The 14021-nt window shown below is 42.7% G+C and overlaps 1 protein-coding gene and 1 pseudogene across 9 annotated transcripts in view; both read left to right on the top strand.

Moving 5' to 3' along the window:
* GLUD1 (glutamate dehydrogenase 1) overlaps positions 1-3620 on the top strand; it is a 44642-nt gene extending 41022 nt beyond the window's left edge. For all 9 annotated transcript variants that reach the window (NM_005271.5, NM_001318906.2, NM_001318904.2 and 6 more), the window contains 2 exons: positions 418-480; positions 1952-3620. In NM_005271.5, coding sequence (NP_005262.1) covers positions 418-480; positions 1952-2071 — 183 coding nt within the window. In that variant the 3' untranslated portion in view covers positions 2072-3620. The remainder of the gene's footprint in view (positions 1-417; positions 481-1951) is intronic.
* RNU6-529P (RNA, U6 small nuclear 529, pseudogene) lies at positions 12481-12584 on the top strand (annotated as a pseudogene).

Below are 14021 nucleotides of genomic sequence, written 5' to 3'. Positions count from 1 at the left end.
CTGTGTTCTGTGTGGTGTCCCTGTTCTCTGGGGAGCTGAGGCGAACGCACCGTGGCATGAACAGTGTAACACATTGCTCAGTGCATCTGCGTCTCCATGAGTGGAGGGTGCTCATCTCACTCCATGCCCTCATGTCTCTAGGTCCAAAAACTGTCTTCATTGTTGTACTATAATCTTATTTCATGAGTATTTGTTTGCTGTCAAATATAATAAAAATAAATTGTGATCAACAAGCAACTGCTTCAGTAAGTATCAAGATACTGTATCTTTGATACTGTGCAGAAATGACATATCTTAGCTAAAAGACAAAAAATTCTGTCTGGTTGTATATTGACTTGAGAATCCTTTGTCATCTTATACAGGGACACAAAGCAGGTCTTTGTGGTTTTGTTAAACTTGTGTTCTTTTCCCTAATAGGGTGCATCTGAGAAAGACATCGTGCACTCTGGCTTGGCATACACAATGGAGCGTTCTGCCAGGGTATGTGTGCAGATGCTGTTTGCCTTCCAGCTAGTCACATGAAGTGCAACTCAACCATGCTATCTCAGCCGCCAGACTGTATGTGCTGATAGAAAACATCAATCTGTTCAATGGTCCTCATTTGTGTGTAGCAAAACACATGTTTTTTCAGTCTCAGATGATAAGCAATTTTTTAGAGTCTTCAAATATGTTTTTGAGGCTTTGGAAAGAAATAATAAGGCTGATTTAGGAGGTAATGATGTTGGCAGCTAGCCCAGTATGGAGTAGTTAGCCAAACTGGATTGTAGCTCCATGTGCCACTATGTTATAGCTACGGGAGTCTACCTTACTATAGAATTTGGTATAAGCAAAACTTATTTTGACTGCTTGATCCCTACTTTAAGGCCTCAACCACAGTTTGAGTCCAGTTTTCCTAATTTCTTCTTGGGTTCAGATTCTATCTGCTTGGATTTATGATGAAATAGCATAAGCAGATATTGGTGAAGAAGGTGGTGCTTCTTAGGGCTGTTGTTTTTCTTGTTAATTTTTGATCGAGATAGGGTGTATGTGGTATAAATTCATCCTTTCAAAGTATTAAATTCGGCATCCTTTATTATATATTTGAGCCATCACCACTTTATAATTCTAGAACATTTTCATCACTCCCTTTTTTTTTTTTTTTTTTTTTTTTTTGAGACGGAGTTTTGCCCTGTTGCCCAGGCTAGAGTGCAGTGGCGCACTTTCAGCTCACTGTAACCTCCACCTCCCAAGTTCAAGCAATTCTTGTCCCTTAGCCTCCCGAGTAGCTGGGATTACAGGCATGAGCCACCATGCCCAACTAATTTTTGATTTTGTTTTCATTTTGTTTAGTTTTTTGAGATGGAGTTTCGCTCTGTCACCCAGCTGGAGTGCAATGGTGCAATCTCTGCTCACTGCAACCACCGCCTCCTGGCTTCAAGCAATTCTCCTTCCTCAGTCTCCCGAGTAGCCGGGATTACAGGCGCCCACCCCCACACCCGGTTAATTTTTTGTATTTTTAATAGAGATGGGGTTTCACCATATTGGTCAGGCTGGTCTCGAACTCCTGACCTCAAGTGATCCACCTGCCTCAGCCTCCCAAAGTGCTGGGATTACAGGTGTGAGCAACCGCACCCCTGCCTAATTTTTGTATTTTTAGTAGAGACAGGGTTTTACCATGTTGGCAAGTCCGGTCTTGAACTCCTGAGCTCAAGTGATCTGCCTACGTCGGCCTCCCAAAGTGCTGGGATTACAGGCGTGAGCCACCGCACCCAGCCACCCCATTGTTAAGTCCAGAGAATTAGGCCCTCCTGCCTAGAGGTTCTGCTGCTAGAGTAGTTTGTCTTTGGCTGCCCAAGTCCTGCCTTGAAACAATGAGAGGGTAACTTGGACCAGGCCTGTCTGGGCCTTGTGTGTTTATGGCCTGGCCACTTGAGTCAGGATCATCTTCACTGCATTTTCTCTTTCATTTCAGCAAATTATGCGCACAGCCATGAAGTATAACCTGGGATTGGACCTGAGAACAGCTGCCTATGTTAATGCCATTGAGAAAGTCTTCAAAGTGTACAATGAAGCTGGTGTGACCTTCACATAGATGGATCATGGCTGACTTCCTCACTATCCTCTTCACATGTAACTTCTGCAGACCTATCACAAGTTTACATGTAACCACAGAAATCCCTTTCTCTCCTGACTCATTAATAATGGATACCATTCTCAACAAGTCAATCCAAGTCAGCCCGTTAAGGAGAAAGAAATTAAGGTTAGCGGATCATGTACAAGCTGAGTGTGAAAGTAGAAATCACCTACACCAGAGAGCCATTTTGGTATTTTGCCTTTAAATAAAAAGCCTCCTTTATCTGGCTGTGCAGCCTTGCTCTGTGGCTTTTCCCAACACAATCAGTGCTAGTGCTGGGGAGGAACAGTCAAGAGCAGTCAGTTGCTTGCTTATTTTTTCTGGATGAGTCTGGGACACACTGTAACTTTAACACATTTAAGAAGTAGGTGTGTGGCCTTTTCAGAAGGTGGCATGGTCCTCAAGTGAGTTCTTAGTATTTTATATCAGCAAAATAATTCAATTTTGCAGGTTGCAAACAAATATAAAACCTGTTTCTGTTTATGAATATTATTCTTTTAGAATAGAATAAGTACATGCTGCTGTAATAAAATTGCCTTTAATCACTTAACAAGCCTAACCTTGACTCAAACAGTGAATGCCTATAGAAATAATAAATGAAAAAAACTAGTATTTTTATATCATAAAACAATGTCATTTATAGCTTATCATTCATGTATTGTCCAGCAGACATTAAAAGCCCTGTGGATAATTAAGTTATCTTCATACCTGCAAAATGGTGGAGGCTATTTTCATTAAAACTGTCAGAATTTGCTTACTATAATTATGATACAGTCCAAAGAATGCAGTCACTTTTTATCATGTTAACTAATTGTTCTCTTTTGAAGATCTATGGTTGACTAATTAAACAATAATTCAAGTAGAGTGTCCCAGAAAAAAACCACTTGGGCTCCCTGTTTGGAGTCTGGCTGGCTCTGAGCATTGCCAATGGCCCCTACTCACCTGACTTTGTATCCTCTCCTTTTAGAGGCTTTGCATTCTGCACCCAGCTTCACTAACAGTGGGCTGAAAACATCCTTGGGTTGAGTGTTTCATTTGGGAGTTATTTGGCCAGGGCCTTTTGAACAGTAGTGTCCCCATGAAGTGCTAGATAATATATGTGTAAGAGTCAGCTTTTTTTTTTTTTTTAACTCTAACACCCTTCAGAAATTTCTAACTACTTTGTAACTGCATGGCTTAACCTGGTGATAAAAGCAGTTATTAAAAGTCTACGTTTTCCAAAACTTACGTTTCTTTTCTGTGTTTTTACATGTGGTAGTTTCTCTTTTCATAAGTTATAATACTGCAATTGGATTTCTGAAATGTTTATAGCGACCACCTGTATAACATTTCCTTCCACTTTATTGTGAGCTGCCCAGATTTTATTCTTGAATTGTTTTTTTTTTTTTTGTTCGGTGCTTTACACGTTCAGAGAAACTTCCCGAGTAACGAACTATAGAAATGATCCCTGAAAGCATAGTCTTTATTCTCGAATTATTTTGTATTTTATTAAATAATATGAACAGCTGTTCTTGAGAAAGAGGCTCTAATGTTGAAAGCTGATAGTGAAGTAACTTTTAGTGCCGTTTTTCACTAAAGGGGATTTAATGTGGAATAATTTAGCCACAGAATGTAACAACTATTGAAGAGAGAATACTAACTGTAATCAGAACTGGATTCTAGACTTGATTCCACCAGTTACTTAACTGCCAGTGTGAAGCCTGGCTTTCATTTGGTCTTTGTCCGTATGTCACAGTTCTGCCTCTGCATGCTCCTGGCATAGGGTCAGTCAGATAAACAGGCCCCCAGTATATGGGCATAGTGAGCCCTTCCCCAGCATGGTGGTGTCTATCTGCACTCTAGGTGGGCTACTAAAATGTGTAAGGGGGAAAGTGATACAAAAACCAGTTCCAGAATGTTAGAATAATGGTGGGGCAGCAGATTTAAGTCATGTGAATGTGGGATAAGTCTTAGTGGTGGCCTTTGACTATATATTGGAAATACTGATTTTTTTTTGGTTGGGGGGTTGGTTTTTGTTTTTTGAGACAGTGTCTTGCTCTGTCACCCAGGCTGGAGTGCGGTGGTGCAATCACGGCTCACTGCATCCTCTACCTCCTGGGATCAAGCAGTTACTCTACCTCAGCCTCCTGAGTAGCTAGGACCACATGTATGGGTACGACACCTGGCTAATTGTTTTTATTTTTTTGTAGACACGAGGTCTCCCTATGTTGCCCAGGCTGGTCTCACACTCCTGGACTCAAGTGATCCTTCCACCTTGGCCTCCCAAAGTACTAGGATTACAGGCATGAGCCACCATGCCTGGCCAATGGTAATTTTTTAAAGATTAATGTTGAGGAGTATTGTTGATAGTAATATTAGAAAACTAAATTGCCTGTGCTAGCTATATAAAGATGAGAGCACTAGTGTCAGTAATTTTGGCTCCTGAAGGTTTTAGTTTTTAAAAATCTGGTCAATTACTCTTTTTACCTTGACAGAAATTTTCTTTTTTTTTTTTTTTTTTTTTTTTTTTTGAGACGGAGTCTCGCTCTGTCCCCAAGGCTGGAGTGCAGTAGCGTGATCTCGGCTCACTGTAACCCCCCGCCCCCTGGGTTCAAGCAATTCTGCTGCCTTAGCCTTCCTAGCAGCTGGGACTACAGATGCGTGCCAGCACGCCCAGCTAATTTTCTCGTATTTTGATTAGAGATGGAGTTTCACCATATTGGCCAGGCTGGTCTCAAACTCCTGACCTCATGATCCACCCACCTTGGCCTCCCAAAGTGCTGGGATTATAGGGGTGAGCCACTGTGCCTGACCTATTTTCAATTATTTTTAAAACTCACACACGATACTCAAGTTACTTGCTTCTGAAATAGCCATAGATGACTTATATAGCACCTGAAGAAGACTTAACTGGTGCTTTATGAGCCTCTACACCAGTGTATTCTAATATCCCTGATTAAGGAGATGAGAAGTAAAGGCATGAATTTTCAGTGCTTTTGGCACCCTAACTAGTAGGATTGGTCATTCCTTTTTTCTATATTTTTTCTCTTTTCCTTTTTTTTTTTTTTTTTACTCCATGACTAGCCAAAGAGCTGATTTACTTTTTTAAAAACGCTTGGCATGGCTGAGCACGGAGGCTCACGCCTGTAATCTCAGCACTTTGGGACGCCCAGGCAGGCGGATCACAAGGTCAGGAGATGGAGACCATCCTGGCTAACATGGTGAAATTCCATCTCTACTAAAAATACAAAAAAATTACCCGGGCGTGGTGGCGGGCGCCTGTAGTCCCAGCTACTTGGGAGGCTGAGGCAGGAGAATGGCGTGAACCCAGGAGGCGGAGCTTGCAGTGAGCCGAGATTGCGCCACTGCACTCCAGCCTGGGCCACAGAGTGAGACTGTCTCAAAAAAAAAGAAAAGCCTGGCATGTTAACTCACAAGCAAATAAATTCCATATTCACTAAACATCCCTGACAGGCTTTCCCAGCCCTGCTGTTTGTTAAGGTAGTCAAAGCATGGCACATGAAGAAAACTACATCTATGGATATTGTACAAAATATTGTTTTTATGATTTTTTAATATTTTTAACAGACTTTTATTGACTTGTGTTTGTATTTTTATCAAACATACTTCATTTATTTATTTATTTTGAGACGAAATCTCACTCTATCACCCAGGCTGGAGTGCAGTGGTGTGATCTTGGCTTACCGCAACCTCCGCCTTCCAGGTTCAAGCGATTCTCCTGCTTCAGCCTCCGGAGTAGCTGGGATTACAGGCATGCGCCACCATGCCCAGCAAATTTTCGTATTATTAGTAGAGACGGGGTTTCACCATGTTGGCCAGGCTGGTCTCGAACTCCTAACTTCGGGTGATCCACCTGCTTCAGCCTCCCAAAGTGTTGGTATTATAGGCATGAGCCACCACGTCCAGCCTCAAACATACTTCAGTTTTTCACCTCAGCACTGTTGACATTTTAGGCTATGTAATTCTCTGCCTTGTAGGATGTTTAGTAATATCCCTGGCCTCTACACATTAGATGTCAGGAAGACCCCCTCAGTTATAACAATGACAAATATATTCAGATTGCCAAATGTCCCCTGTGGAACAAATTCATCCCTTGTTATGAACCGTGATCCAGAGAGCCAAATAGTGATACAAGGTTTATTGTTCACAATAGCTCGTCCCCTCCAATCCAGACACCACCTGCCTCACCATTTTCCACTGCCCCAAGGCAACCACTTTCAGCAGTCTTAAATGTTTCATTTTTATTCTATTTAAAGCCTTTGCTCATTTTTAAATTGGGTTTTGTCCGCATTATTGAGTGGTAAGGGTGCTTTACATATTCCACAGCCAGTTGTGGTAGTATAGGCCTATGGTCCCAGCTACTCAGAAGGCTGAGGCAGGAGGATCACCTGAGCCCAGAAGTTCAACACTAGTCTAGGCAACATAGCAAGACCCTATCTCTAAATGAATTTTTGAAATATATATTCTAGATAATTGACCTTTATCATGCATATACTTTGCAAATATTTCCTCTCAATCTGTTATCTTTGTGCTTTCTTGATAGTCTCCTTTTTAATCTTGAGAAAACATAATTAATTTTTCCTCTGGTTGGTGTGCTTTAGGGTGTATGTAAGAAACCATTGCCTAATCTATAGTCATGCAGATAGATATATCCCTATGGTTTTTTTTTGTTGTTGTTTTTTGTTTTTTTTTTTTTTGAGACGGTCTCGCTCTGTCCTCCAGGCTGGAGTGCAGTGGTGTGATCTGACGGCTCATGGCTAAGTGCAGCCTCTACCTCCTAGGCTCAAGCAATCCTCCCCCTTCAGCCTCCCAAGTAGCTGGGACTATAGGCCCATACCACCACCAAGCACAGCTAATTTCTGTATTTTTGGAGAGACAAGGTCTTGCCATGTTGCCCAGGCCAGTCTTGAACTCCCAGGCTCAAGCAGTCCGCCCACCTTGGCCTCCCAAAGTGCTAGGATTACAGGTGTGAGCCACTGTGCCCTGGCCTAGAAAGATTTTTTTAAGAAATAGTGACCAGGCCAGGTGCAGTGGCTAACATGGTGAAACCCCATCTTTACTAAAAATACCAAAAATTAGCAGGTGGGCAAGGTGGTGGGCGCCTGTAGTCCCAGCTACTGGGGAGGCTGAAGCAGGAGAATGGTGTGAACCCAGGAGGCGGAGCTTGCAGTGAGCCGAGATCCCGCCACTGCACTCCAGCCTGGGCAACAGAGCGAGACTCCGTCTCTAAATAAATAAATAAATAAATAAATAAATAATAAAAATAGTGACCAAAAATATCCCACATTTGATGGGAGTTGTGAATCTACACATTCAAGATGCTCAACAAATTCAAAGCAGGATAAACTAAAAGAGATCCACACTGAGGCACATTATTATCAAATTGTAGAAAGTTAAAGACAGGAAAGCAGCAAGAGGTAAGTGATTCATCCTGTACAAGGGATCTTCAGTAAGATTAACAGTTGCTTATCAGAAATCACGGAGTACAGAAGGCAGTAGGACACTTCTTCCCCTCTCTCCCACTGACAGATGATATATTAAAAGTTCTGACAGCAAAAAGTCAACCAAGAATCCTATATCTTTCAAAAAAAAAAATAACCTCTAAAAATGAAGGAAACTAAGACAGTCCCAGAAAAGTCAAGGGAGTTTATCATTAGTAAACTTGTGTTATAAAGAATGCTAAAGTCTCCCCCATGTTACTCTCAGGGAAGAAAAAAAAAAGAATGCAAAAGTGGAGCTGGGGCCAGGCATGGTGGCTCACGCCTGTAATCTCAGCACTTTGGGAGGCCAAGGCAGGTGGATGGAGTTTGAGAGCAGCCTGGCCAATATGGTGAAACCCCATTTCTACTAAAAATACAAAAAAATTACCTAGGCATGGTGGCGTGCACCTGTAGTCCCAGCTGACTGAGGCTGAGGCACAAGAATCGCTTGAGTCCGGGAGGTGGAAGTTGCAGTGAGCTGAGATGGTGCCACTGCACTCCAGCCTGGACAACAGAGCAAGACTCCATCTCAAAAAAAAAAGGGGGGGTTGGGGGAGCTCAGCATGGGTTCACGCTTGTAATTTCAGCACTTTGGGAGGCTGAAGTGGGATCACCTGAGGCCAGGAGTCCACAAGCAGCCTGGGTGACGTAAGGAGACCCCATCTATACAAAATAAAAATAATTAGCCAGACAGGGTAGCTCAGGCCTGTGGTCCTAGCTATTCAGGAGGCTGAGGCGGGATGATTGCTTGCAGCCAGCAGTTTAAGACTAGCCTGGACAACATAGACCCCATCTCTACAAAATATAAATTTAAAAAATTAACTGGCCATGGTGGTATGCATCTGTAGTTCCAACTACTCATGATGCTCACTTGAGACCAGAAGTTGGAGGTTACAGTGAGCTCTGATCACACCACTGCACTCCAGCCTGGTTGACAGAGCAAGAACCTGTCACTAAACAAAAATAATAAATGAATAAAAATATAAGAGTTCTTGGCCAGGCACAGTGGCTCATGCCTGTAATACCAGCACTTTGGGAGGCTGATGTGGGTAGATCACCTGAGGTCAGGAGTTTGAGGCCAGCCTGGCCAATATGGTGAAACCCTATCTCTACTAAAAATACAAAAATTAGCCATGTGTGATGGCACGTGCCTGTAATCCCAGCTACATGGAAGGCTGAGGCAGGAGAATCACTTGAATGTGGGAGGCAGAGGTTGCAGTGAGTGGAGATTGCACCACTGCACTCCAGCCTGGGCAACAGAGCAAGACTCGGGCTCAAAAAAAAAAGCTAAAGTGAGTCCTTCAGGCTAAAATGAAAGGATACAAGATAGTAACTCAAAGCTATATGAAGAAATAAAGAGCACTGGTAAATGCAACTATGTCGCTAAATATAAAAGCTAGTATTACTGTATTTTGGGTATGCTATTCCTCTTTGTGATTTAAAAAATGCATAAAGGCCGGGCGCGGTGGCTCAAGTCTGTAATCCCAGCACTTTGGGAGGCCGAGGCAGGTGGATCATGATGTCAGGAGATTGAGACCATCCTGGTTAACATGGTGAAACCCTGTCTCTACTAAAAATACAAAAAATTAGCTGGGCATGGTAGCGGGTGCCTGTAATCCCAGCTACTCAGGAGGCTGAGGCAGGAGAATGGCATGAACCCAGGAGGCGGAACTTGCAGTGAGCCGAGATTGCGCCACTGCACTCCAGCCTGGGCGACAGAGCGAGACTCCTTCTCAAAAAAAAAAAAATGCATAAAATAATATGGATCTATGTTAATAGGCACTAATTGTTTAAAGACATAATTTGTTAACTATAGGTAGGGGACAGAGAAAGGAGCAGAGTTAATGTATGCTATTGAAGCTGAGTTGCTATCAGTCTGAACTAGACTTTGAACTCAGCATGTTAAATGAAATCTTCATAGTAGCCACTAAAAAAATAACTTTTAAAATATACAGAAAAGAATTTAAGAAAGGATCAAAATATTACAGGATAAATCATTAACCAAACACAAAAGAAGGTACTGAGGAGCAAAACACTTCATGTAGAAACTAAACAGCATGATGACGTAAGTAAGTTCTTTGGTGTATAGGTTTTTCTGTTTTTCTTTTTTGGGGTTTGTCTGAGACAGAGTCTTGCTCTGTCACTCAGGCTGGAGTGCAGTGTTTCATTCTCAGCTCACTGCAGCCTTTGCCTCCCAAGTTCAAGTGATACTCAGCCTCCTGAGTAGCTGGGATTGCAGGCGCCCACCACCACAGCCAGGTAATTTTTTGTATTTTTAGTAGAGACAGGGTTTCACTACATTGGCCAGGCTACTCTCGAGCTCCTGGCCTCAAGTGGCCCACCTGCCTCGGCCTCCCAAAGTGCCAGGCACAGGCATGAGCCACTGCACCCGGCCTGTTTGGGGTTTTTTTGAGACGGGGTCTAGCTCTGTTGCCCAGGCTGGAGTGCAGTGGCACAATCACGGCTCACTACAACCTTGACCTCCGCAGGCTCAGCTGATCCTCCCACCTCAGCCTCCTGAGTAGCTGGAACCACAGGTGTGCACCACCATGCCCAGCTTATTTTTCTATTTTTTGTAGAGACAGGAGTCTTGCTATGTTGCCCAGACTGGTCTCAAACGCCTGGGCTCAAGCAATCTGCCCACCTCAGCATCCCAAAGTGATAGGATTACAGGCCTGAGTCCAACCATAAGTAAGTTTTTGTTTTTTGTTTTTGAGTCAATCTCTCTGTCCCCCAGGCTGAAGAGCAGTGGTGCGATCATGGCTCACTGCAGCCTCACCTCCAGGCGGGAGCCACCATGCCGGTCAATTAACTTTTTTGTTTCAGTAATCACTTTAAATGTAAATAATCTGACCAATGGAAAGATCGGCAGAATGGATTTTTTTTAAATGATGTAATACACAATCCAAATATGCAACTTACAAAATACTCACTGTAGACCCAAGACACAAATTGTTTCAAAATGAAAAGACGGAAAGAGATAATCCATGCAAATAGTAACCAAAAGAGAGCTGGGGTGGCTATACTAATACCAGACAAAATAGATTTTAAGCCAAAAAATGTTACAGAAAGACATCGTATGTTGGTAAGAGAGTCAAATCACAAGAAGATGTAACAATTATAAATACGTATGAACTGAAAAAGAAAAAAAAAGGGCTCTAAAATGCACAGTCTAACAAAATTGAAGGAAGAAATAGTTTTACAATAACAGAGACTTCAACACAGGCTGGAGTGCAGTGACTCTATCACAGCTCACTGCGACCTCTGCCTCCCAGACTCAAGCGATTCTCCCACCTCAGCCTCCCCAGTAGCTGGAACTATAGGCACACGCCACCACACCCGGCCAATCTGTGTATTTTTTGTGGAGATGGGGTTTCATCATGTTGCCCAGGCTGGTCTCAAATGCCCAAGCTCAAGCAATTCGCCCACCTCAGCCTCCCAAAGTGCTGGGATTACAGGCCTGACCTACTGTGTCCAGTCAATACCCCACCTTCAATAGTAAATAGAACATCTAGACAAAATCAGTAAGGAACTAGAGGAATTGAACAACACACTAAACCAAATAGACCTAACAGACATATGGAAAGATATCCATCTAACAAGAGCAGAATATATATTCCTCTCAAGTGCACATGGAACATTCCCCATGATAAATCATATGTTAGGCCACAAAACAATTCTCAATAAATTTTAAAAGGTCAAAATTATACAAAGGGCCAGGTGTGGTGGCTCACAGCTGTAATCCCAGCACTTTGTGAGGCTGAGACAGGCGGATCACTTGAGCCCAGGAGTTCAAGACCAGCCTGGGCAACATGGTGAAACCCTGTCTCTACCAAAATAAAAAATAAAAAAATTAGCCGGCTGTAGTGGTGGTGAACGCCTGTAGCCCCAGCTACTCAGGAGGCTCAGGCAGGAGGATGGCTTGAGCCTGGAAGGCAGAGGCTGCAGTGACCTGAGATCATACCACTACACTCCAGCCTGCAGGACAGAGCGGGACTTGTCTTAAAAAAAAAAAAAAAAAAAAAAAACAGGCCAGGCTTGGTGGCTCATGCCTGTAATCCCAGCACTTTGGGAGGCCAAGGTGGGTGGATGACCTGTGGTCAGGGGTTCGAAACCAGCCTGGCCAGCATGGCAAAACCCCAACTCTAATAAAAAATACAAAAAATTAGCTGGGAGTGGAGGCAGGCACCTGTAATCCCAGCTACTTGGAAGGTTGAGCTAGGAGAATTGCTTGAATCTGGGAGGCAGAGGTTGCAATGAGCCGAGATCACACCACTGCACTCCACCTTGAGCAACAGACTGAGACTCTGTCTCAAAAAAAAAAAAATTATGCAAAGTGTCTTTTCCAACAAAAGTGTAATGAAGCTAGAAGTCAATAACAGGAAAACCTGGAGAATTTGCAAGTAAGTGAAAGTTAAACAACATTCTTAACCAGTGGCTCAAAGAAGAAATGACTAGAGAAATTGAAATACTTTCAGATGAATTAAAATAAAATGCAAGATACCAAAATTTATGAGATGGTGTGACAGGGGTACTCAGTGAAACTTATAGCTGGAAATACTTACATCAGACGGTCACGGTGGCTCATGCCTGTAATCCCAGCACTTTGGGAGGCCGAGGCGGGTGGATCGCGACCATCCTGGCTAGCACAGTGAAATCCCATCTCTACTAAAAATACAAAAAAAAAAAATTGGCCAGGTGCAGTGGCGGGCGCCTGTAGTCCCAGTTACTCCGGAGGCTGAGGCAGGAGAATGGCGTGAACCCAGGAGGCAGAGCTGGCAGTGAGCCGAGATCATGCCATTGCACTCCAGCCTGGGCGACAGAGCGAGACTCCATCTCAAAAAATAATAATAATAATAAATACTTTCATTAAAAAAGGACAATCTCATGCTTGCTTCATCAGCACATACACTAAAATTGGAACAATACAGAGATTAGCCTGGCCCCTGTGCAAGGATGACATGCAAATTCGTGAAGTGTTTCATATTTATTTTATTAAAAAAAAAAAAAAAGACCGGGCACGGTGGTTTACACCTATAATCCTGACACTTTGGGAGGCCGAGGTGGGTGGGTCATGAGTTCAGGAGATCGAGACCATCCTGGCCAATATGGTGAAACCCCGTCTCTACTAAAATACAAAAAATTAGCTGGGCATGGTGGTGCGCACCTGTATTCCCAGCTACTCAGGAGGCTGAGGCAAGGGAATCACTTGAACCCGGGGGACAGAGGTTGCAGTGAGCCAAGATCGCACACTGTACTCAAACCTAGTGACAGAGCAAGACTCCATCTCAAAAAAAAAAAAAAAAAGAAAAGATAAAAGGAACGATTTCAAATTAACAACCTAACTTTACACCTAAGGGGTATTTAACCTTTTGGTTTCCCTGGCCACATTGGAAGAATAATTGTCTTGGGCTAAGGGAGGAGACCACCCCTCATATTGTCTTATGCCCAGTTTCTGCCTCCAAAGAAAGAAAGAGAAAAAACTAAAAGGCAGAAATGAAATCCACAAGCAGACAGCCCAGCGCCACACCCTGGGCCTGGTAGTTAAAGATCGACCCCTGACCTAATCGGTTATGTTATCTATAGATTACAGACATTGTATAGAAAAGCACTGTGAAAATCCCTGTCCTGTTTTGTTCTTAATTGCCAGGGCATGCAGCCCCCAGTCACACACCTGCTTCTTGCTCAATCGATCACGACCCTCTCATGCGCACCCCCTTAGAGATGTGAGCCCTTAAAAGGGACAGGAATTGCTCACTTAAGGAGCTTCGCTCTTGAGACAGGAGTCTTGCTGATGCCCCCAGCCGAATAAACCCCTTCCTTCTTTAACTCAGTGTCTGAGTAGTTTTGTCTGCAGCTCGTCCTGCTACGGGGCCACACATAAAATGCACTAACCCTAACAATAGGTGATGAACTAAAAAAAAAAAAAAAAAAAAACCTCAAGAAAATCTCATACTGTTTTCTGTTATTTGTAAAGTTTATGAATTTGTGTTGGGCTGCATTCAAAGTTATCCTGGGCTGCATGTTGGACAAGCTTGACCTAAGGTGTAAAAGAAGAGCTAACTAAACCTACAGCCAGCTGAAGGAAGGAAATACTAGAGATTAAAGCAGAATGAAATAGAGAATAGAGGAAAAATAATTGTCAAAACAAAAAGTTGGTTCATGGGAAAAAAAAACAAATTTGATGAACCTTTAGTTAGACTGACTCAGAAAAAAAAAGAGAATAGTAAATAACTAAAATCAGAAAGAAAATGGTGACATTATTACTGATCTTACAGAAATTTTAAAGATTTTTAAGACAATACTATGAAAAATTATATTCCAAAAATTAGACATCTAGATAAAATGTAGATTCCTAGAAACACACAAATTACCAAATATGACTTAAGAAGAAATAGAAAATCTCAATAGACCTATAACAAGAAAAG

The sequence above is a fragment of the Homo sapiens genome, chromosome 10 (genome assembly GCF_000001405.40).
Source record: "Homo sapiens chromosome 10, GRCh38.p14 Primary Assembly".
In the NCBI taxonomy this organism is placed as follows: domain Eukaryota; kingdom Metazoa; phylum Chordata; class Mammalia; order Primates; family Hominidae; genus Homo; species Homo sapiens.
The sequence above is the reverse complement of the archived record's forward strand: the minus strand, read 5'-3'. Positions and strand labels throughout refer to the sequence as shown.